Here is a 27,725-nt window from a genome sequence, read left to right as displayed (position 1 = left end):
TTAGGTTATATTTGTCTGTTGGCTTGCTTATGTTTGAATTTCATTCATGATGTTTTGAATATTACAGAAGTTACAAATGTTCATTTAGACAAGTGTATCATTTATTTGCTGTTAGAAATTTATGAAAAATTATTTTCTGCTGTAACTCACTAAATTTTCTTCAGTGTTCTTACATATTTGTTGTTTAAGTGTTTATTATTTGCATTCTTTTTATGACAGCATATAACATAGGATATACGATTTATATTTTTTCTAAATAGAAAATCAGATCGCCCAACATCGGGTAATTTTAAACTGTTATTTTCCCATCCAATTGAGATGCCATATGTATCATGCACTAAAATTCCATTCTTGAATTCCTTTTTCATTTTATTGATCTATTTCCCCATTGCAGCTTCAAAATTAAGGCATTTCAATGACTACAATTTTTAAACTTGTTTTAATATTTGGGAAGACAATTACTTTTTGCTCTTCTTAAAAAATGTCTTACAACTTTTACTTGCCTTTCTAAGTGAATTTTAGGTTGAGCTTGGCAAGTTCCTTAAAAATCTGTTGCTGGAATATTTATCAGAAAGTATTGAATTTATAGAGTAATTTAAAGAAAATTTAAAAGCCTTTATAAATGTGATTTTTTTTATCTGGAGTCTCAGCATATAAAAAAGATAAAAGGGGAGACATTTGAGATTATTTGAAGGGTCAGACATACAAATGATCTATGAAGAACTTGTGGAACATAGTTCAAGAACCACTTTTAAAATTTCTTTCAGGAAAGAAATGGCATAATTTTTATTTTCTCATGGGTCAGAAATTACTGAGTAAAGATTTCCAAAGAGTGAAAGCCAGGGGAAATTCAGAACAGATGGAGGAAGGAGATGAATCATTCATTAGGAATTTGACTGACGTTTGGTGATATAGCTCTGGTCATTTGCTGAGTGGATGTCAAGATCCCTGTTCCAGTAATAGCCTAAGCATTTTCTGTCTGTGTTTAGGATGAAGACATACACATATCCCAAAAACTTGACAGTTTTTTTTTTTATAAATAATGTAATTAGATAAGCAATATTTTAGGAAACATGATTATTAAAAGTCAAACACCTATTATTAAATGTATTGCAACTATGTGTATTGTAATCACCTTGAGAAGTATTTGAAAATTATATAGAACATGGAATTCAATACCCCACAATGAACCTTACTGAATTCTCTGTGACAGACTGTGTAGAGTTTCAGAATCTCTGAGGAAAAAGGAAGGGTGATAAAATATTACAGACATGCTATCATACTTGGTCAGAACTTTTTAATACATAGGTAAAACTTGACTTTAACTTTGGTATTAGGTCTAAAACAAAGCTTTTTTTTTAAAGGGGGTAAAATTTAAGCTTTAAAAATACTGTGTTGAATGCCTTGCCTTATTACTCTTTTTCGTTTGATTCCCACACCTGAAACTTCTGTCTTGAGTTTGAATTCCATTAACATCTTCTTTAAGTACAAATAACTGGATTCTGTTGTTAGTGGTAAAATTGGAAATGTTGAAGGTGTTGTGGTATTATTGTTCTTTGTAATTATTTTAAGGAGCAGTTTGTATGATATTGTATGTAGAAGTTACAAATACACATAATTTGTTACTCATAACCATTAATCTGCAAATACTACCCAGTTGGACAAACCATGAAAAACATACCATATGTACTTTAACTTTAAACGTCAGTGTTTCTGAAACAGTTACTAACTTTACAATTATTTTCCAAGTTATCCTTCTTGATTGTTACCACCCCAGTTTTTTCTTTTTTTCTGCAACTTGGTGAGGCCTATTACTAAAATATTTATTACTAATAATTACTAAAATTTCTGTTTTTCTAATTGAACCTTGACTGATAAAGATGGCTCTAGGCCTTTCACAATCTTATCTCTACTTACTTTTCCAACTTCATACATATTACACTTATCTTGGTGGTTCTGTTTACACTTCTCTCTCTACCTATAATTGTGAAAATGCTCCTTTTACTTATATCTGCTTGCTGGAATTCCATACATCTTTCATGGCACCAATTTACACACCACTTTCATGAAGATTTCTAAACACTCCAGCCATTGACATTGTCTAAATATTGTCCATTTACAGTCTGCATTTGTAACTTGCTTCTGCTTTCATTGCAGTATATCTAGAAACAGGTAAGACATTACCTGTTCAATAATTTAATTCCTTAATAATTAAATATTTGAAACAACAGCATTGGTATATTTTTTGTAAGCACAGTTTGTTTAATTGTGATTATTCCACTAATATTCAGCACAATACAGGCCTAATAGCTAATTTTACATCTCTTTATCATTATATCATAAAGAAGAATACTTTTTATTTCAAATTTATTTATTAAATTTATTACAAGTTTATTACAAATAATTTATAAGTTTCTGAATTTAATGATAATTTTTTTCTTTTGAATATATTACTATATATGCACATACTTTGTGGAATCCACTGTTTTGTATTATTTTGTTATCGTCATTTCTGTCTGTGACTCTCCAGGAATCCCTGCGACTCTTATAAGTAAAGTTTTACTCTCACTCCACGAGAAATTTGACTATACTCTTAATGTGGCAATATTTCTCTGCTCTAAATTGATCTTCAGTGTGTTATTCTTGTTAAAACTAGGAAAAGTAGGTCATGTTATGAATATCAAAGCAGACATCCTTTAAGGAAGACTAAAGAAAAGAACAAAAAGCATAAAGGTCATATTTTAAATTATTTAATTCAACTGATGGCTATTGTATCTGACAGCACTTATTTTCTACTGGTGGTATGAAAATTACTGAAATAAACAACTACTACAAATAAAATTAAATAAAATGTTTTATATAACTACTACATTCTCTCAACAAGTTTTACTGATATTGAAAAAAATTTACACAAGACTTTAAGGCAAAGGTTACTATTCAGATTTGTAGAGAGTCTCCATTGTACAACAATTTGGAAATAAATTATTCATTCTCTCAACTAAATTACAAAAAAAATATAAATAATTACACAGAGAAAATATAAAACATAAAATAAACAGCAGTGGGTACACTAATATCACTTGAAATCTTTACCTCTGTATGATTAGTTAGCTAATAAAGTTATAGCAGGTCATAAAGTTAGTTTTCTTGTAAGAAATGCATTATTACAAAAGCTTTTACAGAACAGCATTTGAATAAAAGAGGAATATTACTTCCATGGGGATTACTTTCTCTATGTTCACAACTATTTTGCCCATAATTTTCTTTGGTCCGGTTTTGTTGTTATTGTGGTACAAAACACATAATGTAAAACTTACCATCTAAACCATTTTAAGTATACCGTACAGTAGTATAAAATACATTCATAATGTTGTGTAATAATCATCACCATCCATCTCCAGAATTCTATTCATCTTGCAAAGCTGAATTTCCATACCCATTAACAATAACTGTACAGTTTATTTTTTCCTCAGCCACTGGCAACTACCATTATGCTTTCTGACTCTATGATTTTGCATACTCCAAGTACCTTGTATGATTGCAGTCATATAATATTTGTCTTTTTTCTTTCTTACTTCACTTAGCATAGTATACTCAGTTTATTCATGTTGTAACACATGTCAAAATTTCCTTTCTTTTTCAAGCTGAATAATATTATTGGGTATAATAATGAATGGGTAAACAGAATGTGGTATATACATACAATTAATAATATTGTATACAATGAATAATATTGTATCTGTATGCCACATTCTGTTTACCCATTTATCAGTCAATGATTCTTGGACTGGCCCCACCTTTTAGCTATTGTGAATAATTCTGCAATAAACCCAAATGTACAAATATTTCCTTAAGAACCTGGTTTCAATACTTTGAATACAATCATATTTTAAGTTTTTTGAGGAATGACTATACTGTTTTTCACAGTTGCTGTATGATTTTATATTACATATATATATGTATCCCAGAAAATAAAAGTCACTGGAGCGTTGGTGTGGCTATGTAGTAATTGAAATCCTTGTGACCAGTTAGTGGTAATATAAAATTGTACAGCAACTGTGAAAAACAGTATAGTGGTTCCTCAAAAAACTTAAAATATGATCCAACAATTTCACTTCTGTGTATACACTCAAAAGTATTGAAACCAGGTTCTTAAGGAGATATTTGTACATTTGGGTTTATTGCAGAATATATGTATATATATACATCCTAATATATATATATATATATATATATATATATATGTCATCCTAATGGGTGGCTTCTCTTTATACTTTCAATTGCATTTCCTTAATGATCCATGATTTTTAGCATATTTTCATGTGTTTATTAGACATTTTTTTTTTTTAGAAAAATGACTTCAAGTCTTTTGCCTATTTTTTAAATTAGGTCTTTTTTTGTTGTTGTTGTGATTTAATAGATCTCCATATATTCTGGCTATTAATTCCTTATCAGATATATAATTGGCAAATGTTTTCTCCCATTCTGTGGGTTGCCTTTTTACTCTTTGGATAGTGTCTTTTGATTTACATTTTTAAAGAAGTTTCATCAACTCCAATTTGTCTATTTTTTTTTCTTTTCTTTTAGTGCCTTTGGTGTCATATCCAAAATTTTATTGCCAAATCCAATGTCACGAAGCTTTTACTGTATGTTTTCCCACCAGATTTTAGTAGTTTCAGGTCTTACATTTAAGTTTTCATTCAATTTATGTTAAGTTACACATGTAGTGTTCAGTAAGGGCCCAAATAGGTTTTTTGTTGTTGTTTTGTTTTGTTTTTTGGCATATGGGTGTCTACTTTTCCCAGCAACATTTGTCTGATAGACGTGGTCTTTCTCCATTAAACTGTCTTGAAACTTTTGTAAAAAATTACTTGACAATATATGAGAGGGCTTATTTATTGATTCTTTATTGCATTTCATTGTTCTATGTGTCTTTATGCCAATGCCACAACGCTTTGATTACTGTAGTTTGTAGTAAGTTTTGAAATTAGAAAGTGTGAGTTTTCCAGGTTTGTTCTTTTTCAGGAATGTTTTGGTTTTTGGAGTGTCTGAGATTTTATGTGGATTTTAGTAAGGGTTTTTTATTGCTACAAAAAATGTTATTGATATTTTAATAGGGATTGCATTAAATGTATAGATTGCTTTGGGTAATATTGACAACAATATTAAGTCTTCCAGTCCATGAAAAGTAGATATGTTTTCATTTATTTATGTCCTCTTTATTTCAGCAATGTTTCAAAGTTTTTGATCTATAAGCTTTTCACCTCCTTGGGTTAAGTTTATTCTTAAGTATTTTTTTATGCTATTGTCAATGGTATTTTTTTCTTAGTCTCCTCACAAGGTTTATTGTTTGTGCATAGAAGTGTAATTTGTGTGTGTGTGTGTGTGTGTGTGTGTTGACTTTGCGTTCCGCTACTTTGCTGAGTTTATGTATTATTTCTAACCGCATATGTATGTGTTTGTGTTTGTGTGTGTGTAACACTTAGAGTTTTTTATATATTAGATAATATAACCTATGAAAATAGATAATTTTACTTCATTCTTTCCAATTTGGATGACTTTATTTCTTTTACTTGTATAAATGCTCCAGCTAGAATTTCCAGTGTTGTGTTGAATGGAAGTGGCAAAAATGAGCATACTTGCCTAATTCCTAATCTTAGAAGAAACACTTTCAATCTTTCATTACTTAGTAGAATGTTCATTGTGAGATTTTTGTATGTGACTTTTATTATGTTGAGGTAGTTCTGCTTCTACTTTATTGAATGTTTGTCCTATGTAAGGGTGTTAAATTTTGTCAAATACTTTCTCTGCAACAATTTAGAGTATAATGTGCATTTTCAAAATTCTGTTAATATGGTATATTACATTGATCAACTTTTGTGTATTTAACCATTCTTGCATTCTGGAAATAAATCCCATATTGTCATGGTATATAATACTTTTAATATGGTGCTAAATTCAGTTTAATAGTATTTTGTTGAGAAGTTTTACATAAATATTTATAAAAAACATTGATTTTTTTTTCTTTAGTGTATTTGGTATCACAATAATGCTAGCCTCATAGGATGAATTAAGACATGTTCCCTCCTCTTCAATGTTTTGGAACATTTTGAGAAAATATTATGTTCTTGTTTAAGTATTTTGTAGACTTCACCAGTGATTACATCAGGTCCAGGGCTTTGCTTTGTCAGAAAATTTTAAATTGCTAATTCATTCTCCTTACTTTTTTTAGTTTTATTCATTTTCTTTTTATTTCTTCATGATTTAGTCTTGATAAGATTTGTGTCCTGGGAATTTATTCACTTTATGTAGGTTATCCAGTTTTTTGGCATACAATTGTTCATAGCACTCTCTTTTGATCCTTTTTAGCTTTATGGAATAAGTATTAGTCTTCCCTCTTTCATTTCTGACTTTAAGTCTTCTATTTTTTTATTTTCTGTAACTTGATTCTTCTGTCTCTTTTTAGTCCATCTGGGTAATGATTTGTCTGTTTTGTTGAACTTTTCAAAGAATTATCTCTGGGTTTCATTGATTTTCTCTATTTTTTTCTACTCTCTATTTAATTTGCCTCTACTCAGTTCTTTTATTATCTTTACTTTTCGTAACTGTGGATTTAATTGTTTTGCTTTTACTATTTTGTTAAACTGTAAAGTTACATTGCTGATTTGTGATCTCTCTCTCTTTTTTTTTAATATAAGAATTAAAAGCTGTAAATTTCCCACTTGGCACTGATTTTGCCATGTCCCATAAGTTTTAGTATGTTATGTTTTTAAGTTTAATTATCTCTGAAGTATTTTCTAATTTCTCTTGTGGTTTTCCTTTAATATTTTGTTTGTATATTTTTAAAATAATTTCTAAATATTTATAAATTTTTCATTTTCCCTTATATTTTTTATTTCTAAGTATATTCTTCTGTTGTGGTTAGAGAGGATAATTTGTATAATTATATATATTTTTAAATCAATTGGGACTTAATTTGTGGCCTAAATTGTGGTCTGTCCTGGAAAATGTTCCATGTACACTTGAGAAAAATGTGTATTATATTGGTGTTGGCTACGGGGTTATTTAAGTGTCTGTTAGATCTATTTGGCTTATTATGCTGTTTAACTCTTCTATTTCCTTATGAATTTTCTGCCTGGTTATTCTATACAATATTGAGGGTGGGATATTAAAGTCTCCTATTATTACTGTAGAACTATCTATTTCTGTCCTCAATTCAGTCAGTTATTGCTACATACATTTTCATGGTCTGCTATTAGGTGCATATAAGTTTATAATTGATATTTTATCTTGCTGTATTTAACCTTTTATCAAGACATAATGTCTTTATTTGTCTCTTGTTAACTGTTTTGGTTTAAAGTATTTTTTTTCTCACATTAGTATAGCCATCCTTGTTCTCTTTTTGTAACTATTTGCATGGAATATCCTTCTCCCTCCTTTTATTTTCAATCAATTTGTGTCTTTAGATCTAAAATGAGTCTTTTGTATACATCATAAGTCAAAACTTCTATTTTTTACTCTGTTTTTTGATTGAAGAGTTTAATTCATTTATATTTAAAGTTATTACTAATAAGGAGGGAGTCATATGTCTCATTTTACTATTTACTTTCTATATGCCTTATAGCTTTTTTGTCCCTCGTTTCCTACATTACTATATTTATTTGTGCTTAGTTGATATTGAACATTGAAAGGTCATATGGTTTGGCCCTATCCCCACCAAAATCTCATCTTAAATTCCCACATGTTGTTGGAGGGAATAGCTGTGAGGTAATTGAATCCTCGGGGCTGGTCTTTCCCATGCTGTTCGCGTGATAGTGAATAAGTCTCATGAGAACTGACGATTTTATAAGGGGAAGTTTCCCTGCAGAGAGCTCTCTCTTTGCCTGCCACCATCCACGTAAGACCTGACTTACTCCTCCTTGCCTTCTGCCATGATTGTGAGGCCTCCCCAGCCCTGCGGAACTGTGAGTCCATTAAACCTCTTTTTCCTTATAAATTACCCTGTCTCAGGTATGACTTTATCAGCAGCGTGAGAACAGACTAATACAGTAAATTGGTACCAGTAGAGTGGAGCACTGCTGTAAAGAAAACTGAAAACATGGAAGTGACTTTGGAACTGGGTAACAGGCAGAGGGTGGAACAGTTCAGAGGGCTCGGAAGGAGACAGAAAAACGTGGGAAAGTTTGGAACTCCCTGGAGACTTGTTGAATGGCTTTGACCAAAATGCTGGTAATGATAGGAACAATGAAATCCAGGCTGAGGTGTTCTCAGATGAAGATGAGGAACTTGTTGGGAACTGGAGCAAAGGTGACCCTTGTTATGTTTTAGCAAAGAGACGGGCAGCATTTTATCCCTGCTCTAGAGATTTGTGGAACTTTGAACTTGAGAGAGTTGATTTAGCGTATCTGGCAGAAGAAATTTCTAAACAAAGCATTCAAGGGTTGACTTGGGTGCTGTTAAAGCCATTCAGTTTTAAAGGGGAAGCAGATCATAAAAGTTCTGAAAATTTCCAGCCTGACAATGTGATAGACAAAAACTGATTTTCTGAGGAGAAATTCAAGCTGGCTGCATAAATTTGCATAAGTAATGAGAAGCTGAATGTTAATCCCCAAGAAAATGGGGAAAATATCTTCAGGGCATGTCAGAGATTCTTGTAGCAGCCCCTCCCACCACAGACCCAAAGGGCTAGGAAAAACAAAATGGTTTGTGGGCCCGTCTCAGGGTCCCTCTTCTTTGTGCAGTCTAGGAATTGGTGCCCAGTGTCCCAGTCACTCCTGCCATGACTAAAAGGGGTCAAGAACAGCTCGGGTGTGGCTTCAGAGCATGCAAGCCCCATGCCTTGGCAGCTTCCACATGGTGTTGAGCCTGTGGGTGCACAAAAGTCAAGAATTGAGGTTTGGGAACCTCAGCCTACATTTCAGAGGATGTATGGAAATTCCTGGATGTCCACACAGAAGTTTACTGTAGGGACATGGCGCTCATGGAGAACCTCTGCTAGAGCAGTGCAAAAATGAAAATGTGGGGTCAGAGCCCTCCCACAGAGTTCCTACTAGGGAATCACCTAGTGGTGCTGTGAGAATAGGGCCACCATCTGTCCTCCAGACCCTAGAATGGTAGATCAACCAAGAGCTTGCACCATTTGCCTGGAAAAGGTGCAGATGCTCAATGCCAGCCCATTGAAAGCAGCCCGTAGGGAGGCTGTACCCTGCAAAGCCACAAGTGCAGAGCTGCCTAAGACCATATGGAACCCATCTCTTGCATCAGCATCACCCGGATGATACATGAGGTCAAAGGAGATGATTTTGGAGCTTTAATATTTGACTGCCCCAATGGATTTTGGACTTGCACGGGGCCTGTAGCCCCTTTGTTTTGGACCATTTATCCTATTTGGAATGGCTGTATTTACCTAACGCTTTTTGCCGTTATTGTATCTAGGAAGTAGTTAACTTGCTTTTGATTTTACAGGCTCATAGGCAGGAGGGACTTGCCTTGTCTCAGATGAGACTTTGGACTGTGAACTTCTGAGATCTCTGAAATGAGTTAAGACTTTGGGGGACTGTTGGGAAGGCATGATTATTTTTTAAATGTGAAGACATGAGATTTGGGAGGGACCAGAGGTGGAATGATATAGTTTGGCTGTTTCTCAACCTAAATTGTATCATGAATTGCCATGTGTTGTGGGAGGAAGCCGGTGGGAGGTAATTGAATCATGGGGGTGGGTCTTTCCCATACTATTCTCATGACGGTTAATAAGCCACAGGATCTCATTTCTTTTTTTTTTTTTTTTTTTTTTTTTTTTTGAGACAGAGTCTTACTCTATTACTCAGGCTGGAGTGCAGTGGCACGATCTTGGCTCACTGCAACTTCTGCCTCCTGGGTTCAAGCAGCAATTCTCCTGACTCCGCCTCCCGAGTAGCTGGGACTACAGGCGTGCTCCATCACGCCTGGCTAATTTTTTTATTTTTAGTAGAGATGGGGTTTCCCCATGTTGAGCAGGCTGGTCCCAAGCTCCTGACCTCAGGTGATCCAACCTCCCTGGCCTCCCAAAGTGCTGGGATTACAGGTGTAAACCACCACACCAGGCAAAGAGACAGATTCTTAATGCTTCCTACATTACAGCCTTCTCAGAATTTTCAGCATAATTTTCTTTAAATCTAACAAAGTCATTTTTCTTCTTAGGTAGAAAAACGATATTTTTATAATCAGCAATATGTACAAATTTCTTTTTTAATATTTTTTGATTATGTATTTCTCTGTCTCTCTTTCTCTCTCTCTCTCTCTCTCTGTGTGTGTGTGTGTGTGTGTGTGTACATGTAGGAAGGTACGTGGTATGTGTTTCAGTATGACATACTCAAGTTTCAGTTTCAACTTATATGAGTTTTATTATCTTCTTCTTTCCTGAATAGCTTCTCAACTTTCTAAACAAAAGCTCTGTCCAATGTTAGTTAGCTTGTTTGAAATAAACTCTCTTGCACACAGCGAAAACAGAATCATTTCAGCATTCAGCCATATAGAAGAAAACCATTATTCCCAGTAATTGCATGTTTTTTATTCTTATTCTTCATAATGAACTACCTGTCCACAACTATCATTTCCAACTCATTGTCTCATGGAATTTGGCAGGTTTTCTTTCTCAGATGACTGGCTAAATAATTTGTAATGAACTTTAAATATTGCATTCTCCTCTAGGAAAGAAATTTATGCATCTTTTACTACTCAAAATAAAATTCAAAGTCATTCAGCTGTCAGAGATATAGTGGCAATTGTAATTGAGAAACAGCTGTGTTTCTATTAATTTATTCTAAAATATTTGCTAAATATCTAAAAAATGTTAGAATAAAAATTCCATACATTGGAAATTAATGCCAAAATATCCTTGATATTAGCTATGACATGGAGATCACCCACGATTTATTTCAGCATGCTTGGTAAGTAGTGTGAATATTTAGCATCATAGACCCTACATGGTTTAAGCGAGATTAGGTATGTGGTAGATATGGATAAGCCTGTATTTCACAAATAAATAAATCACTTTTTCATGTCTTCATCCTCATGGCTACATTTATTGTGCCAAATATGAAGAGCTTTATACTTCTTAATGACTTTTCAATACAGATTAAGTTAGAATTACAAATGGTTATCCCTACAAACACAGTGCTGTTATAAACATAACACAATATTCAAGGTACAGGAGATTCAAGCTAATGAAGAAGGATCTCAATGCTTTTTCATTAAAGGTAGTGTAAAAATACAAATTTTATGTTTGGATTAGATATATTCTCAAAACTGAGTGAAACTAGATTCTAGACTAGCACAAGAAATTTCTTTAGTATTTTTGCTATCGCATATATAAATACTATGTAAATTCAATAGCATTCTGGAGATAGCATTTCCAGATCTATGATGAACAAAATAGCATAGTTAACATTTAGCAATATTTTCATGTTTTGAAAATGGATACAGATCTTCATTTTAATGAGTAACAACTTTCCTCAGGAATTCATAGAAAAATCCTCCATGCTATGAACTAAAAAATATCTCCTTATCTAAGTGGTGAGACCTAATAAACAAATCAGGTTTTAGAAAGTATGGTTAAAAAAAGAAAGACAAAGAAAGAAAGAAAGAAAGAAAGAAAGAAAGAAAGAAAGAAAGAAAGAAAGAAAAGAAAGCCTCTATCGAGACTTTTTTTTAATTGCAATTGCCTGGATAACCTCTTTAGTTGCCATTGTATAGCTTTCTGTAACAGATAAAAGTTTCTAGCAAAATTACTATGCCTTTAAGCTGTTGAATATATGTCTTCTAAATTCTTATTTATCTCATGGGAAACAGTGTTGTGTCAGAGGCCCTTAAGACTGCTTTAGATTCTATGAGCTAGAAGGATTCACAGGACTCAGATACTGTTACACTTAAGGTTATCATTTATGACACCACAAAGATACAAATTAGAATAAGCAAAGAAAAAAAGGCATATGGAGAGAAGTTCGGGTCAAAGCAGCACAAACTTCTAGGTATCCCCATTCAGTGGAGGCATACAAGGGAAGACCTGATTCTCCCAGGAATGCTATGTGAAAACATACACAAAGTGTTGCCAACCATGGAATTTCACTAAGTCTTGATGTCCAGGCTTTTACTGTCAGTCATATAAACATGGAGTGTCTGCATGACTGGCCTTAGTTACTCAGACCCCAGAACCCCTTTATCCAGGGGAAGAAAAAAAAACAACAAAAAACAAACAAAAAAAAAACCCTTTACCTTTATCTAGGGTAAAAACAGGCATTCGCCATAAATCACATTTGTTAGCATAAACTGTTTTGTTATACTGGTCACTGTATGATCAGGTTTAGAAAATATATTCACCATTAATTGTATATTTAGCATAAACTCTCTGGTCAAAATAGTATAGCACAGCCTAAGTCTTCAGAAATATGAAAACACTCTTAACAGGCAGAATATTCTACAGGCTCAGCCATCTTAAGGATCAGTGCGAAATACAAGCTTTTCTTAGGAATTTGCAGTATTGGAGAAACCCAGGTCTGCCCTTTCCTGCACAGCCTATCCTTCTGGCTCTTGTCCTTGGCTGTTTTCCAGCAAAATGATCATATGTTTCTGAGCGTCTACATTTAATATAGCATTTATATAACAGAGATAACAGTAAAATCCGCCTGGTGAATTAACCCTTTCTTGCACAGGTGGTTAGAATTTTTTCTTGCCATGAAAACTTACCATTGTAACAGCTTTGCCTTTTAACACTGAAACTAGTGTACTATTGTGCATTGTAGTATTGCTTGGCAAGTCACTGAGGCATAACTGTATTTGTGAAAGCATCAACTAAAATACCTGGAAGCAATACATGAACCAAAAAAACATGCTGAAATTTGTTGCTGTGTGGCTACCCAAGCAACACAGAGGAAGAAATTTAAGAAGGTATTGCATATCAAAAGTGGCTGTCATATAATATAAAGTATGGACTTAGATGGAAGATCTTGTAATTTATAGTTGTGTAAGTAAGTAGAATCTGGTGTGGGACTTTTTAACTTTTTAGTGAAATTTAGATTTAGAGTTTTCCATGACTATGAAAAGAATCCTTTGATATACTTTGTTAAAAGTGGCAATACTATGGCAAAATATATTGTTCTTAAATGCTCTGTTCTTAGGTGACTAATAGGAACAAAATAAGCCTCGTAAGCCTGCCCAATTGTATTTCATATATTTTGTTTCTTCTCTGGGCAATAGATTTTATGCACATACAATATAATCTATAAGCTCATAGATCAAATAAGCCATTTCAATCTGGTTCTATCCAAATTTTGAGAAATTCTTACCTTAATATCCCATTTTCTGATTTGTACTGTACAAGATCATCCTGGGTGATGCTGAGAGTAAGCATGTTGAATCTATAAAGCTTATAGTAGCCTTTATTATCTGAAAAACAAAAATATAGCCCATTAACATTGATAGATAAAAGCAGCCTAAAGTAACAAAAGTTGTATATATTCCCAAGATTATTTGTCAGTCTTTACATATGATTAGGCTTCTATATATCCTGAAAAAAGTACCAATACAAATATATATTCAAACGAATAGTGTAAATTATAACTAAAATAAACTTGTAAATGCCATCACTTTTGCATTTTGCCATTTTTTAAAATTTAGGTCTAATAAAATAAAATGCATAGATCTTAAATGATCAATTCTATGGGGTTTGAAAACTGGAAGCACCTATGTACTCATCTGTTTAAGACTTAATTATTATATTAATAACAGAAATAAAATAATTCCATTCTACCTGAAACCCTTGGGATTCCTTATAGTATGCAACTTTATAAACTTGTTTTAACATATAACAATTTGGATAATTCCTCAAAATACTTTTTGTATATTAATAAGGTTTATTAGCAATTACCAACAGATAAAGAAACAGATTTTTTTAAAGATAAACAGGTAGTGATAAAGATGAATAGACTGATGCTCTAACAAACTAAGGATTTCAAGAAAACCATATGCTTTATCTCTATTTGTAATTCTATTCTTGATAAATAACATGTAAAGATAAGATGATAGTGAAAATATGAAATGAAAAATAAGAGAATTTAGGCTTAAAATGAAGTCATATCAGTTTTCATGACATCTAAAATATCTTTTTGAATTGATCTTAACATTTTATTCTGTTTATTTGCAAGTATCATTTATTTTCATCATTAAAGCATTATTAAATCCATACTTTATATCAGTGAATTTTATTTTCCTAAAGTAAGGCATTAGAAACAAAATTTTTAAAGAAAAACTACAATAAAAAAGTGTATCCCACATAGTTGTCTCACATTAACTTTTTCCCGTATGTTTGTGTCTTTGATCTTTAATATAATCCAGAAAGTCTGCATCTGGAAGGTGCTAATTCCCAGATCCACATTTCAAAGCAAGGCAAATTAAGGTGCTAATTGCAGAAATCTAATTTCAGGGAGTACAGTTATCACCATACATTTAGAAATACAAACGTTACATAAAGAGGGAAATGTCACTAGATTGCATTTAGAAATAAAGCATTCTAGAACTTTTTGGTGGTTTCTTTGCATTTTATAAGTAATTCAATACAAATATTAGAGAATTCTAGTTTCTACTTTGAGATATAAAGAGCTTGGAATCTGCTGTTTTTATTTTCATAACAAGAAAAAAGCTGAACACACTGAAAACCAACAACTCTTCTTAGATTCTTCTGAAAATTGAAGAGAAATAATAAACCACTGTCCTGAAAACTGAAGAGAAAGGCAGATACCGAGAATCACAGCTTACTCGAAATAGAAACCCAGGAGCAGAAATCTACTCCTGGAGCCACTACTGGTAGAAACACTTAAACTCTGATACAATTTGAATGCTTAGTGTGTTCTAGCTTGAGAGTTAAAAACTCCAGGAGACTTAGTGTTAGAGGGAGCCCCAAATTTTCATAAATTTTACCTCCAGGAACCCCACCAGATTTTTGTGCTGAAGATTGGTGAAGAAATCCCATTATGCTTCCAATGCAGAGAGAGAAAAGATGGCAATTTTGAAATACACACCGAACTTTGTGTTCTCCAACTGCCCTCAAGGGAAAATACCCAAGCCTAACTATTGTGGGAAAAAGGAAGTACCTAAGTTGAGGCCGCTCTACCCTTCCCAGATCAACTTCCTGTATCAACTGAGTTTCAGACAAGGAGATCAAAAAAGCATTTATGAAGGTAACGGCTCAGACACACAGACCCACTGAAAATATCTGGACCTAATAAAAGGATTATAGAGCATTTTCTTTTTCCTCACCTTTCACCACAATACCAATAATGCTACTGTATAAAACAGAGGATTACAGCTGAAAGAATTGCAAGTGTCAGACTATACATCAGGAAGTTTTGTTTCTAGTAAAACCTAAAGACCACAGGGGGAACAAAAAACAACACCTGAGAGTATTAATGTCTCAGGCAGCAACAGCTCTAGAAAACTATAATCACAAGTTACCTTCTAGGAAGATCTCCATAATCTCTCACAACAAAGACCCATTTTTCTTAGTTTCTGTTATCAGATACATCATGTCTGACTTTGAACCAAAAATTACAAGGCATGCTAAAAGGCAAACACACACATACACAACAGAAAATGCCAGCAACAAAACACCTCTGGAGTGTTAGAGCAACCAACAGAACCAGACTCAGATATGACACAAATTTTGGAATCACCACAGCGGTAATTTAAAGTATCTATGTATAATATGCTAAGAAATCAAATGAAAAATTGATGAACGTGGAAGAATAGATCAACTCTTCAGAAAGAGTGCAACTCTAAGAAAGAATCTTAACATGCTAAAAAAAAAAAAAAAGGAAAATCTGCTTTTGATGGAATAACACATTGAATTGTGCCTAAGGAAAGAATCAGTAGGCTTGAAAATGACAATGGAAACTTCTCAAACATAAATGCAAAGAAAAAGTATAGTTGTAAAAAAAAATGAAAGAGAACATCCAAGATGTGTGGGACAATTACAAAAGGTGTAATATATGCATAATCTGAAACCAAAGAGAAAGAGAAAATAAAGCAGAAAAAATATTCGATGTAATAACAGTTAAGAGTTTTTTTTCAAAATTAATGACAAAGACCAAACAACAAGTCCAGGAAGCACTGAGAAAATGAAGCAGGATAATTTTGAAAAAAAATCTAAATATGTAAATAGCATATTCAATCTGTAGAAAAACAAAGTCAAAAAGCAAACCTTGAAAAATACCAGAGTATGAAAATGTTACCTATAAAGAAATGAGAATAAAAATTATAGTGAATTTCTTGTCAGAAACCATGCAAGCAAGAAGATAATAGAGTGAAACATTTAAAGCATTGAAGGAAAAACCCCATGAAACTGGAATACTGAATCTGGTGAAATTATCTTTCAACAGTAAAAAAGAAATAAAGATTTTGCTTTGGACTGAATTGGGCCCACCCTGCCCTCCCTCAAATTCATATGTTGCAGCCCTAACACCCAAAGTTAAGGTATTTAGACATGGGGCTACTAGGATGTAATTAGGTTGAGATGAGTTCATGAGGGTAGGGACTTCATTAGAAAATCAGTGCTCTCATAAGAAGAGATAACAGAAAGCTTAGCTTCAACCTGTTTCTTTCTGTCTTTCTGCCTCCTCCTAAACAGGACTAGGAAAGGCCATGTGAGGACACGGTGAGAAGGGAGCCATCTGCAAACCAAAAGGGGAACTCCAAGCAGACAGTGACTTTGCTACCACCTTGATATTTGACTTCCAGCCTCCATAACTTTGAGAAGTTGATTCCTATTATTAAGCCACTCAGTCAATGATATTTTGTATGGCAGCCAAAGCAGACTAATACAGACTTTCCCTGGCAAACAAAAACAAACAGTTTATTTTCAGCAGAACTGCCTTATAAGAAATGTTGTACACGACAGTGTATTATGTGACTATAGCTTATGGAATAAAAACAACATTGTAAGTAGTGAGAGGCAGGAATTGAGAATATTCTCTCATAAAGTCCCTGTCCTACCTAGGAAGCAGTACAGTGTTGTTTGACAGTGGACATAGATTCGTTTTAAGTGTATATAGTAAACTTTAAATTAACAACTAAAATATGTAAAAAATATAATTGATATACTAAGAGTGGAGAGAAAATGGAATCATAAAATATTCAATTTAAATATATAATGAAGAATATGAGAAGGTACAAAAAGGAAAAAATGTAGAAATGAATACAAAACCATTACAAATATAGTAATTTTAGAATACTTCCTAACTAATTCTATTATGTCACCATTACCCTAATATAAATATTAGATAAAAACACTGAAAGAAAAATTAGAAACCATTATCTTTCATAAACATATATACAAAAATCTTCAATAAAATATTAGCAAATTTAAGCGAACTATATATTAAAAGAATTATATACCAAGACCTAGGAGAATTATTCCCAAGTATGCAAGTCTGTTTCAACATTCAAAAACCAATTAGTCTGTCACATCAATAGGCTAAAGAAGAAAAATCATATGATCATCTTAATTGATGGAAACAAAAAATTTAACAACATCCATTAGCCCTTCATGATAAAAACTCAGCAAAATTAGGAATAGAAGGAAAGATTCTTGACATAACTAAGGAAATCTGTAAAAAATCCTGCAGACTTTTATACTTAATAGTTAGAAATTGGTTGCTTTCCTTAAGACTGTGAATAAGGCAATAATATTTCCTCCCACTGTTTCTTTTTAACATTCTACTGGAACTTCTACCTAGTATAGTAAGGAAATAAAGGAATACGGATTAGCAAGGAAGAAATAAAACCATGTTCAAAGATGACATGATTATCTATTTGGCATGATATAATTATAATACAAAATTTTAAGGAAATACTTATGAGTCCACATTAATTTTAATAAATTAAGGGAGCAGAGATAAATCTCTCATACAGAAGAGTTTCCAAGAAATTGTGTAGATCTTTTATTTTAAAATAGAGAAAGCATATTTCCTCACATTTTGAATGTGGGCTGTGTATTGTGACTTCTTCCTAAAAGTACAGTTTGCAAAAGGGAGAAAAAAATGTGCAACATCACTCTGGAGAAACTTGACAAAAATCACTTCAGCCATGTGAGCTAGCTCAACATTCATAGTCCCCAATGACACAGACAGTAGTATGCATCCTTATTAGAATGTGGTGAAAATAGCAGCTTACCTATGTGAACCTCCCTCAAATCCTGTAACCCACATCTAATCATGATAAAGCTCAGAAAATATTAACACAATTTCATTAGTTTTAAAATGTCTCATTATTTTGTTGTATATAAATGAATATCTAAAAGCTATAAAACTGAGAATAAATTATGGTTAATAACCAGTTAACTTTAGTATTTTTAGAAATGTAGTCTAACTTTCTGTACTTAGATTCAGTAGCGTATTTCTAAATTTAATCTAATTCAGTGTGTATTTACACTAATTCATTTATAAATAGAAAATATTAACTTGATTGAAATCAAGTAAAACACTTTTGACAAGCCTTCATGAAATTTTTGTCAGTTTTCATTTTAGTGCACTTAAACTCAGAATATCAAAAGAAACTGAAAATCTAAGTGATTTCTAAATTGTATAACTGTAAATGGTGTGAATTACAAGCCTGAGGAATATGATAGACTCAAACACGTATCCAAGAAGGCCCACATCAGGAGCATCTTATGTGTACTCATACAATATGAGTTTGAGAGAAAAGTCCCTTTGAAATCAGGCTACTATATGATGAGTAAACTATTTAAAATATCTTCGTTAAAAATTTATATTTTTAAAATATTCTATTTAACCACACATTCAGTCATTGCACATAGAAATTATATTTGCACCTGAGATTTTTGTGGACTGAAATTTATGTCTTCATACATTTCATATGTTGAAATCTAATCCCAATAGATGGTATTTGGAGGTGAGGCCTTTGAGAGGTAATTAGGTAATGAGGGTGGAGTCCTTATGGATGGGATTACTTTCTCTTTAAAAAGGAGGGAGGAAGATCACTTGAGTCCAGGAGTTTGAGACCAGCCTAGCCAACACTGGGAGACTCTATCTGTAAAAAAAAAATAAAAATAAAAACAAACAAAAAGCAAGCCAGAGCTCTAGCTTGCCCTCTTTCTGCCATGTGAAGATTCAGGAAGATAGCTGTCTGTAACCCAGAGGAAGACACTTACCAGAACCTGACCATACTGGCAACTCATCTCAGACTTCCAGCCTCCAGTACTTCCAGGAATAAATGTATCTTGTTTATAAGCCACCCAGATTATGGTACCTTTGTTATACCAGTCCAAACTGATTGAAACAGACGGTTTATTTATTTATTTTTTTTTACTTTTAAGGCATTGTTAATGTCTTTAGATTAAACAAACAAATTATTTAAATTGCTTAAGGGAACTTTCATCAGCCCTTGGAAGAGGATATGCTCAGCACAATTCTCTCAGCAAAAATATTTGAGTAACAAAGAAATTGATTCATTTATAAACATTTATTTTCTCATTCTTAAAAAATATATTCTGCCATGTGGAAATTAACAAAGAGGTTTTTAAGTGATTTTAAGAGTGGCTATGAATAAACAAAACTCAAATTTCAAAATCTAGCTAAACTGAGGAAGGGGGAAAAAGAGGAAGAGAGGAAAAAGACACAAATTACACATTTCAGAGACAAAAGAGGGGGCATCTCTACAGATCCTGCAGACATTAGTATAATAAGATAATATTATGAATACTTTTATATCAATAAATAAAAGTTTGGATGATGCCATGGGTTAAATTGTGTCTGCCAAACTTCATGTCGATGTCCTAACATTTGGTACCTGAAAATGTCAACTTATTTGAAAATAGGGTCATTGTATATATAATTACTTAACATGAAGCTCTTCTGGAATATGGTGGGTCCTTATTCCAATATGACTTGTGTCCTTGTAAAAGGAAGCTCATGTGAAGGGAGACACATATGAAGGAAGGATGATGGAAAGATGCAGGGAGAAGTTCAAGTACAAGCTGTGGTCATCTATAAACCAAAGAGAGAGCCTTGGAAAAGATCATTTTCATACAACCCTCAGAAGGAACCATCACTGCCAGCATCTTGATTTTAGACTTGTAGGCCCCAGAACTGTAAGGCAATACATTTCCGTTATCTAAACTATTCAACTTGGGATACATGGTTACGGCAGCCCTTGACAAACTGGTATCAGATGAAATGGACACATTCTTGAAAGGCGTAAGTCACCACAACTGGCACAAGAAGAAACAGAAAATCTGAACAGTGCAATATCAGTAAAAAAGAAAAATCAGAATTAAAATATTTTTAAAAAGAGACTCAAAGATGAGATGCTTCTTTTGAATCATATTATTTAAAAACTATTAATATCAAACCTACATATGCTCTTTAAGAAAATAGACGAGAAGAGAACATTTCCCAACTCATTTTGTAAGAATAGCCTCATGTTGATACCAACACCAGTAAGAAGTCATCAGAAAAGATAAACAGAGAGCAATACTTCTCATGCACAGGTATGCAAAAATTCTTGGCAAAACTTTAGCAAATCAAATATAACAATGTGTAAAAAAAGATACTTAATCATGATGGGATTTTAAACTTGGTTATAAAACAGAAGTAAATATATAAACATACATTTATGACAGATTTAAAATAAAACAAACATACGGTAGAGGAAATCAAAATCAAAAGTAGGTTCCATGAAAGGGATTACATTTTTACTGTTTGTAAAATTGATGAATTATTAGCAAAATTTATTGAGAAAAATAAAAAAGAAACGGAGTACCAACATTAAGAATGAAAAAAATAGACTTTACAACAGACCTTACAGACAAAAAAAGAGTATTAAATAGATATTATAAACAACTTTGAGATTATTTGAAATTTTAGATGAATTGACCTAAATACATGATATAACCTCAATTAAATCACAATATTTAATAATGAATAATGTTATATATGATATATAATAAATAGATATATAAATCTATCATCACACAGAGTGTGAATATAGGAAAAAATGAAGTAACACCTACTCCATTTAAAGGTTACATGGTTGGATACATAGAAAATCCAAAAGGATACATATATATGCATATATATACATATAACTAGAAGAGAGGAGTAGTTTTTGAAAGGTTATCAGCTCTGAGATCCTGAAATTCTAGGAATTAATCTAATGAAAGGTTGACAAGACATTCAGAACTACAAAACATTGCTGACATTTTAATGTACCAGAAAACTCAATATTTTAATGTAAAATCTTCCAAAGTGATCCATAGATTCCAGGCAATCCCGATGAAACTCTCAGAAGTTTTCGTGCATTTGTATGTATGTGTTCATGTGTGTGTAAATTAACATGCTAAATCAAAACTATATATGGAACTGCAAAGACAAGTCATAGTCAAAATTTTCTTAAGAATAATAACTTTGGAGGATCTTACCAAATTTGAATACCTATTCTATAGTAACAGTAACTAATTGTCTGTTATTGGTACAAGCATGGACAAATCTTTGTATTTGTTGGAACAGATAGGTTATGGAACAGAAGAGTAGTCCAGAAATACATTGACATATATTAGATTATTTAATTTATGACAAAGGTGCCACTGTAATTCCTTGGGGAGAAAGGAATAGTTTTCAATACATGATGGCAATCTCCCAACCCTCTTTGCCTGCAGGAGTATCAGGTGTCACAATTTGTATGCCCTCACAAAGCAATTTCTGGCTTCTTAATAACCAAATTACCAATTGGATGGTTCATGTAATTTTGTTTTTCCTTTCTCCTCTCCTTTTGTTCTTTTTCACGTTTATTTTCTTTTGTATCTCTGTGTATATCTTTTTCTACAGTTTATATTTTAATTTTTATTTTTAATATATTTTTGATCCAAAATTATTATATTTAACTGTCTACCTAAATTATATGAAAATATTGTTGATGTTCTTTGACATTCTGAATTAAAGTGTATATATCAACACTAAAAAATCCTGTGGCTTTCTCTGTGGTTATTATTTGCATTTAAGTTGAAATAATATCATCTCATTGCATTAAATTTCTCTGGTAAGAAAATTCATGTCTTTTGGAATCCACACAAGGTCTTTGTATTTTTTTTCCGTGGGAAAAATAGGCAGTGTATAACAAAATGCCTTTTGGTAATTTTCACTACATGTTAATGTATCTTATAACCTTGATGAAAAGTTACTTTTCAAGCCTAAGCTTTAAACTTCAATCCAAGTGAGACTTTAAGTTACACACACACACACACACACACACACACACACACACACACAATATAAAATTAATTATTGTTTTGTTCTTTTTTCCTATTGGTCATTTTTCACAAAGTATATGTTTAAGTAAGCGAAAGAAAATACTAACACCTTAAGAGTTACACAGGTATGTATATTCCCTTTCTGTTTAATTAAACACTTTAAAGATAATTTGAACTAATATTTTAACAGGATACTGTTTTGGAGGTGAATATTGTTGGATGCTTTAAAATTTAAGTTTCTTTTAATATTCCACTCCAACTTCATATTAAGGCATTTTACTTTTCAAAGAAAATAGGCATAATACATCTTAATCATCATCATTTTTTATATTTGTCTGCATTCACAGGTATAAAATGATATATTGTATTTTGTTTAATCTTAGAGGCAGCTGTGCTAACATATGTTTCATCGTTTAAAAGATGCCCCGTACATTTTTATGAGAAATAACACACTATGATGTCATTGTGAGCTAGTAACATTTTACCCCTCAAATGTATGCAGGCAAAAATACATATACAAATGGTTTAATCATTTGTTCACTAGCTTTAAGGAAGGCATTAAAATGATATAAAAATTTCTTTTCAGCTCCAATATCTTATACTTCAATTGGCATATCATATTCGGATTATACTCTTATTTTCCGTCTTACACATTTCTGATATCAGGGCTACTTTGAGCTTTTACGCTTCCTCTAAACTTGTACAAATATCCTGCTTATTTTGCTTTCTAATCCATCTTAAACTCAATCTGAGCAAACTAGTTTTTCTCATGACTGTTTAACTGAGGGACCCTGTTAATCTTTCAAGTTTCTTGATGATTTGGCACTTAGATGAAATTCAGTCCATTATCATGGATACATAAATACAAAAATCTACCTGATAATGTCCTATTGGTCACTATTGCCTTTTGGTGACTTTACATTTTTATCTTCAGTGATTATACTCACATACTCATTTGGCCACCAATACCTATGACAACACTGTAGACCTTGAAATTACCTGCAAATACTTATCTTCTAATACACAGATTCAAACATCTCATTTTTAGAACACATAGTATTCTTCCATTTCACTCACTTTGTTACTCTTTCTACACCTATTCTTCAACATTCATCAATATCTTGGAACTCTAGTCTTCAGACCACTGCTATTTTCTCCCTTTATGTCACTACATTTACTTCCACTTATCTAAAGTAGAGTCTCCCCTACCCTGAGCCCAAGAAACTCCTGCCAGTTTATTCAACTTTTTACCTTATTTTGTCATCACGTATTCTTGGTACAGGACCAAGCTTGAGTTAATCCAGAACTCACCCTTCTCTTCACTTACACCTAGAGCCTGAAGTGCTAAATGAAAAATTCAACACCCGTATCACTTAAATTTCCAACTCCAACATCATCAGTGTCCTTGATTTACCAATGCTCCAGTTCATTAGATAGAATTGTTTCATTTTTTTCACTTGTTTGTTCTTAGCAGATGACACTTCCTACATCACAGAGAAAACAGTAGGGTGAAACTCTCAAAAGTTATTTTTATGAAAACTACAAGTATAGATGACTTTTGATCCATTGTTTATCCTTCCATTCTATTACAGGAGAAGTGTGACCACTTCCTGTGTTTGAGACTACCTTGTCTTACGTGATCTATATAACTATATTACTTTGCCCTTTGTTATTGGGACTTCATTATTTCATTAGTCTCTATTTTCCAAATTTCCCTTCCCTTTAGCTCCTTTCATTCCATCCTGAAATTCACTCCAATAAGGCAATAAACCCTTATTGAATTCTTTTCATGTCTCTCTCTCTCTCTTTTTTTATTTTATTTTATTTTTTTTTGAGACAAGGTCTTGGTCTATCACCTAGGCTGGAGTGCAGTGGCGGGATGTTGGCTCCCTACAGTCTCCACTTTCTAGGGTCATGGGATCCTAAGTCTCAGCCTCACATGGAGATGGGTCCACAGACCTATGCCACCACACCCATCTAATTTTATTTTATTTTTTGGTAAAACTGTGGTCTCACTTTTTTTCTCAGCCTGGTCACAAACTCCTGGGCTCAAGTGATCTGCCCCCCTCAGCCTCCCAAAATTTTGGGATTACAGTCATGAGCCACTGTGCCCATCTTTTACTAAATACTGAGACATCAAGTTTCTGTAATTATTTCTTACCTTCCTAATCTTTTAATTGCTTGACTATAAAATGAGAAATTCTGGTATGAAAAATTTAAACCATAACATGAACATAATCTAAAAAAATTAAAAATCAGATAAAGATGGTAGATGAAGCATGTATATCACTTTCTTCTTTCTCAAACACACACATTTATATATATTTTTTAAAAGAAAATGATACTATAAATCCATCCTAAAATATACTTTTATCAACTTCAGATAGATCTTTAAAGTGATCTCTGAATTATATACTGTAAATGGGGTTAGATTGCTGGAAAATCCATAGCAGAGAAACCACAACACAGGCAGGTAAATACCATCCTAAAGGGAATAAAAAGTTGTATTCTAACAACATTTTAAAATATACCACCTGAAGGAAGACATCAGCAAAAACGCAGAGAAAGAAACTCCAAAATTCTAGTCTCCTTAAAAGCAATGAAAAAATTGGCAAAAATAGCAAAGTCAATTTTTCAAAACTCTGAAATTAAGCAAAGTATTGCAGCAACACAGGAACCTCTTATTTAAGAAAAACGGGTAATCTTAAAAAAAAAAAGCAAGTTTGTAGTATGTTGACTAACATAGCTCTGTCCCCTAATCCCCAGTTCAGTGGTAGTTGTGAATAACAGCCTGCATATGGAGTACCAGAGGGAGAAGAATGGAAGTAATTAAAAAATAATTTTAATGATGTGCTTTCTCCTATCTCATGACTCTGTGGGACACTTGTTGAAAAGGCTAGTGTTTATTTTACTGGACTGTTGGAACTAGCCCTGTCCGAAAGCTGTTATGTGTGTATATGGGGTGCGTGAGACCTTTTCCAAAACATTTACAGGGAAATGTTTTAGTCACAGCTGCCTGAGGTGACAGGTAGTAGTGAGGGCAAACAAAACATTAATCAAAATTCGGGGGAAAAAGTGCTATAGTAGTCTACTTGAGATGCTATAACAAAATACCAAAAACTGGGTGCCTTAAGTGACAGAAACTTGTTTTCTCAGAGTTCTAGAGGCAAAAAATATCAGATCAAGGTCCATCAGGTTCAGATTCTGCTGCGGGCTCTGCACCTTCCTTGCAGACAGCGGTTTTCTCACCGGGTCTTCACCTGGTCTTTGCTCTGTGCATGTACAGGGGGCATGGAGAAGAAAAGCCCCTAATGTCTTTCCTTTTAAGAACACACATCCTATCAAATCAAGGCCCCAATTTTATATCTCATTCAACCTTAATTACTCTTCCTTAGAGGGCCCATCCTCAAATGCTGCCACACTGGGGATCTGGCTTCAACATATGAATTTTGAGGGGACACAAACATTGAGCTCATAACAAATGTTCTGGAGTAAGATATCCTAAAAGTCTTTGAGAAGTTCTGATGTATTACTGGGATTGTAGAAGGCCACACACCTAGCAATGGCTGTGCACATGCTCAATAAATAACTGAGAAGTTTGTAAGTTCTCACCTGTAGTTGACCTTGAGGCTTAGTAAATGAAGACTAAGACAACGTTTTAAACTCCTGGGTGTTGAAAGTTAAAGCCAGCACATTCACAGAGTCCCTTAGTAAAGTTTGGAATTTTTTTTTTTTTTTGGTCTCAGGCACTTAATGAAATAATCATCTAATGATTAGAATTTATTTGGAAAAATTAATAGACAATATAAACTACAATAATTAGTAACAGCAACAAATCATGGGGATAGGAGAGATATAATTTTCAAATTTATCACATTATAATATGCAATATGTCTAGTTCATAACCAAAATAATTATGAGGCATGCAAAGACCCAGAAAAAAAAGGTCAACACATAGGAAACAAAAAACAATCAATGTAAACTATACTTGAAGAAGCCCAGATATTGGACTTCCTAGACAAAAGCCTTAAATCAACCAATTTAAATATGTACAAGGAGCTGAAACAAACCACATCTAAAGAAATAAAGAAATGTATGAGAACAATTTCTCACCAGAGGATGTAAATAAAAATACAATAATTATTAAAAAGAATTGAATAATATTCTTGTAGCTAAAACATATAATAAATAAAATTATTACCAAAATAATTTCAATTAAAAATCACAGCAGATTTGAACCGGTGCAAAAAGAATTAATCAACTTGAAGATAGATCAACTGAGATCATTCCATCCGAGTAACAGAAAAAAGGAATGCATGAAGAAAAATAAACAATTTCAGACTCTTCTGGGACAGCAGCAAGCACACTAACAATATACAATGGGATATCAAAAGAGCAGAGATTAAAACAAAAAAGAGTAGAAAATATTTGCATAACTAATGGCAGAAAACTTGACAAATTTGATGAAAAACCTAAATCATCTAAGAAGTTCCATGTAGGGAAAACTTACTCAGATCTACATCTAGACATATAGTCAAACTTAAAAAGACAAAGAAACAAAGAGAGACTCTTAACAGCTTCAAGAGATAAATAATTCATCTCGTGTAAAGGATTCTCAATAAGATTAACAGCCAATTTCTCATCAGAAACCATGAAGGCCTGAAAGCAGTGGGATGAAAGTGCTAAAAAAAAAAATCACTGGATTCTTGTATTAACTAATGATTTAAATACAATTTTTGACACATGTTCATTTTATATTTACCTGTAAATTATTTTAACTTTCTGAAAAATATACTTTAATAATGACATTAATATGTTACTCTATTTTTTATTTTTAAAATTAAAAAATTTAAAAAAAATTTCTGCCACTGTAACAAAATACCTGAGACTGGGTAATTTGTAAAAAAAAAAAAAAAAAAAGGTATTTAATTCTCACCCTTTTGGAGGCTCAGAAATCCAAAATCAATGTACAAGCCAGTTCATTGTCCAGCGAGGGTTCTCTACTTTCAGTGTAGAGGGTTCTGTAATTTCAATGTAGCACCTTGTTGCTACATTGCCTGGAAGAAACAAACACTGTGTCCTCACATGGTGGATTTAGAAAAGCAAAATGGCCTGAACTAGTTTCCTCTAGCCCTTTTTGACAAGGCACTAATTCATTCATGAGGGCAGAGTGCTCATGACTTAATTACTTCCCCCAAAATTCCATCTCTTAATACCACTACAATGGAGATTACTTTTTAATACGAATTTTGGAGGCGACACATTCAAACCATTGCACCCAGATAGCAGATTAAACATTATTTCTGGATGAATCTGTGACAACGTTTCTGGATGAGATTAGATTTGAATCACTGGACGCAGTAAAGTAGATTGTCCTTCCAGAGTGTGTAAGTATCATCCTATCTATTGAAGGCCTGAATAGAACAGAAGG

General features: G+C 32.8%; 2 long non-coding RNA genes across 3 annotated transcripts in view; one reads left to right on the top strand and one right to left on the bottom strand.

Moving 5' to 3' along the window:
* The window catches only part of LINC02476 (long intergenic non-protein coding RNA 2476), a 287,946-nt gene that overhangs the window by 185,746 nt on the left and 74,475 nt on the right, over nucleotides 1–27,725 (top strand). Inside the window, exon 3 of one of the 2 annotated variants that reach the window (NR_131962.1) lies at nucleotides 16,658–17,074. The exons of the other annotated variant lie outside the window; for it this stretch is intronic. This is a non-coding gene — a long non-coding RNA (long intergenic non-protein coding RNA 2476). Of the gene's footprint in view, nucleotides 1–16,657; nucleotides 17,075–27,725 lie in introns of those variants that run through there. 2 annotated transcript variants of the gene reach the window in all.
* On the bottom strand, nucleotides 8,780–15,058 carry LOC107986840 (uncharacterized). Its single transcript, XR_001745345.3, has 3 exons — nucleotides 14,953–15,058; nucleotides 13,323–13,422; nucleotides 8,780–8,865 (listed from the first exon to the last, which is right to left on the bottom strand). It is a non-coding gene; the product is annotated as an uncharacterized LOC107986840 (long non-coding RNA).

Source organism: Homo sapiens, chromosome 7, assembly GCF_000001405.40.
Source record: "Homo sapiens chromosome 7, GRCh38.p14 Primary Assembly".
Taxonomy (NCBI): Eukaryota; Metazoa; Chordata; class Mammalia; order Primates; family Hominidae; genus Homo; species Homo sapiens.
This window is presented reverse-complemented; position numbering and strand designations above follow the sequence as displayed.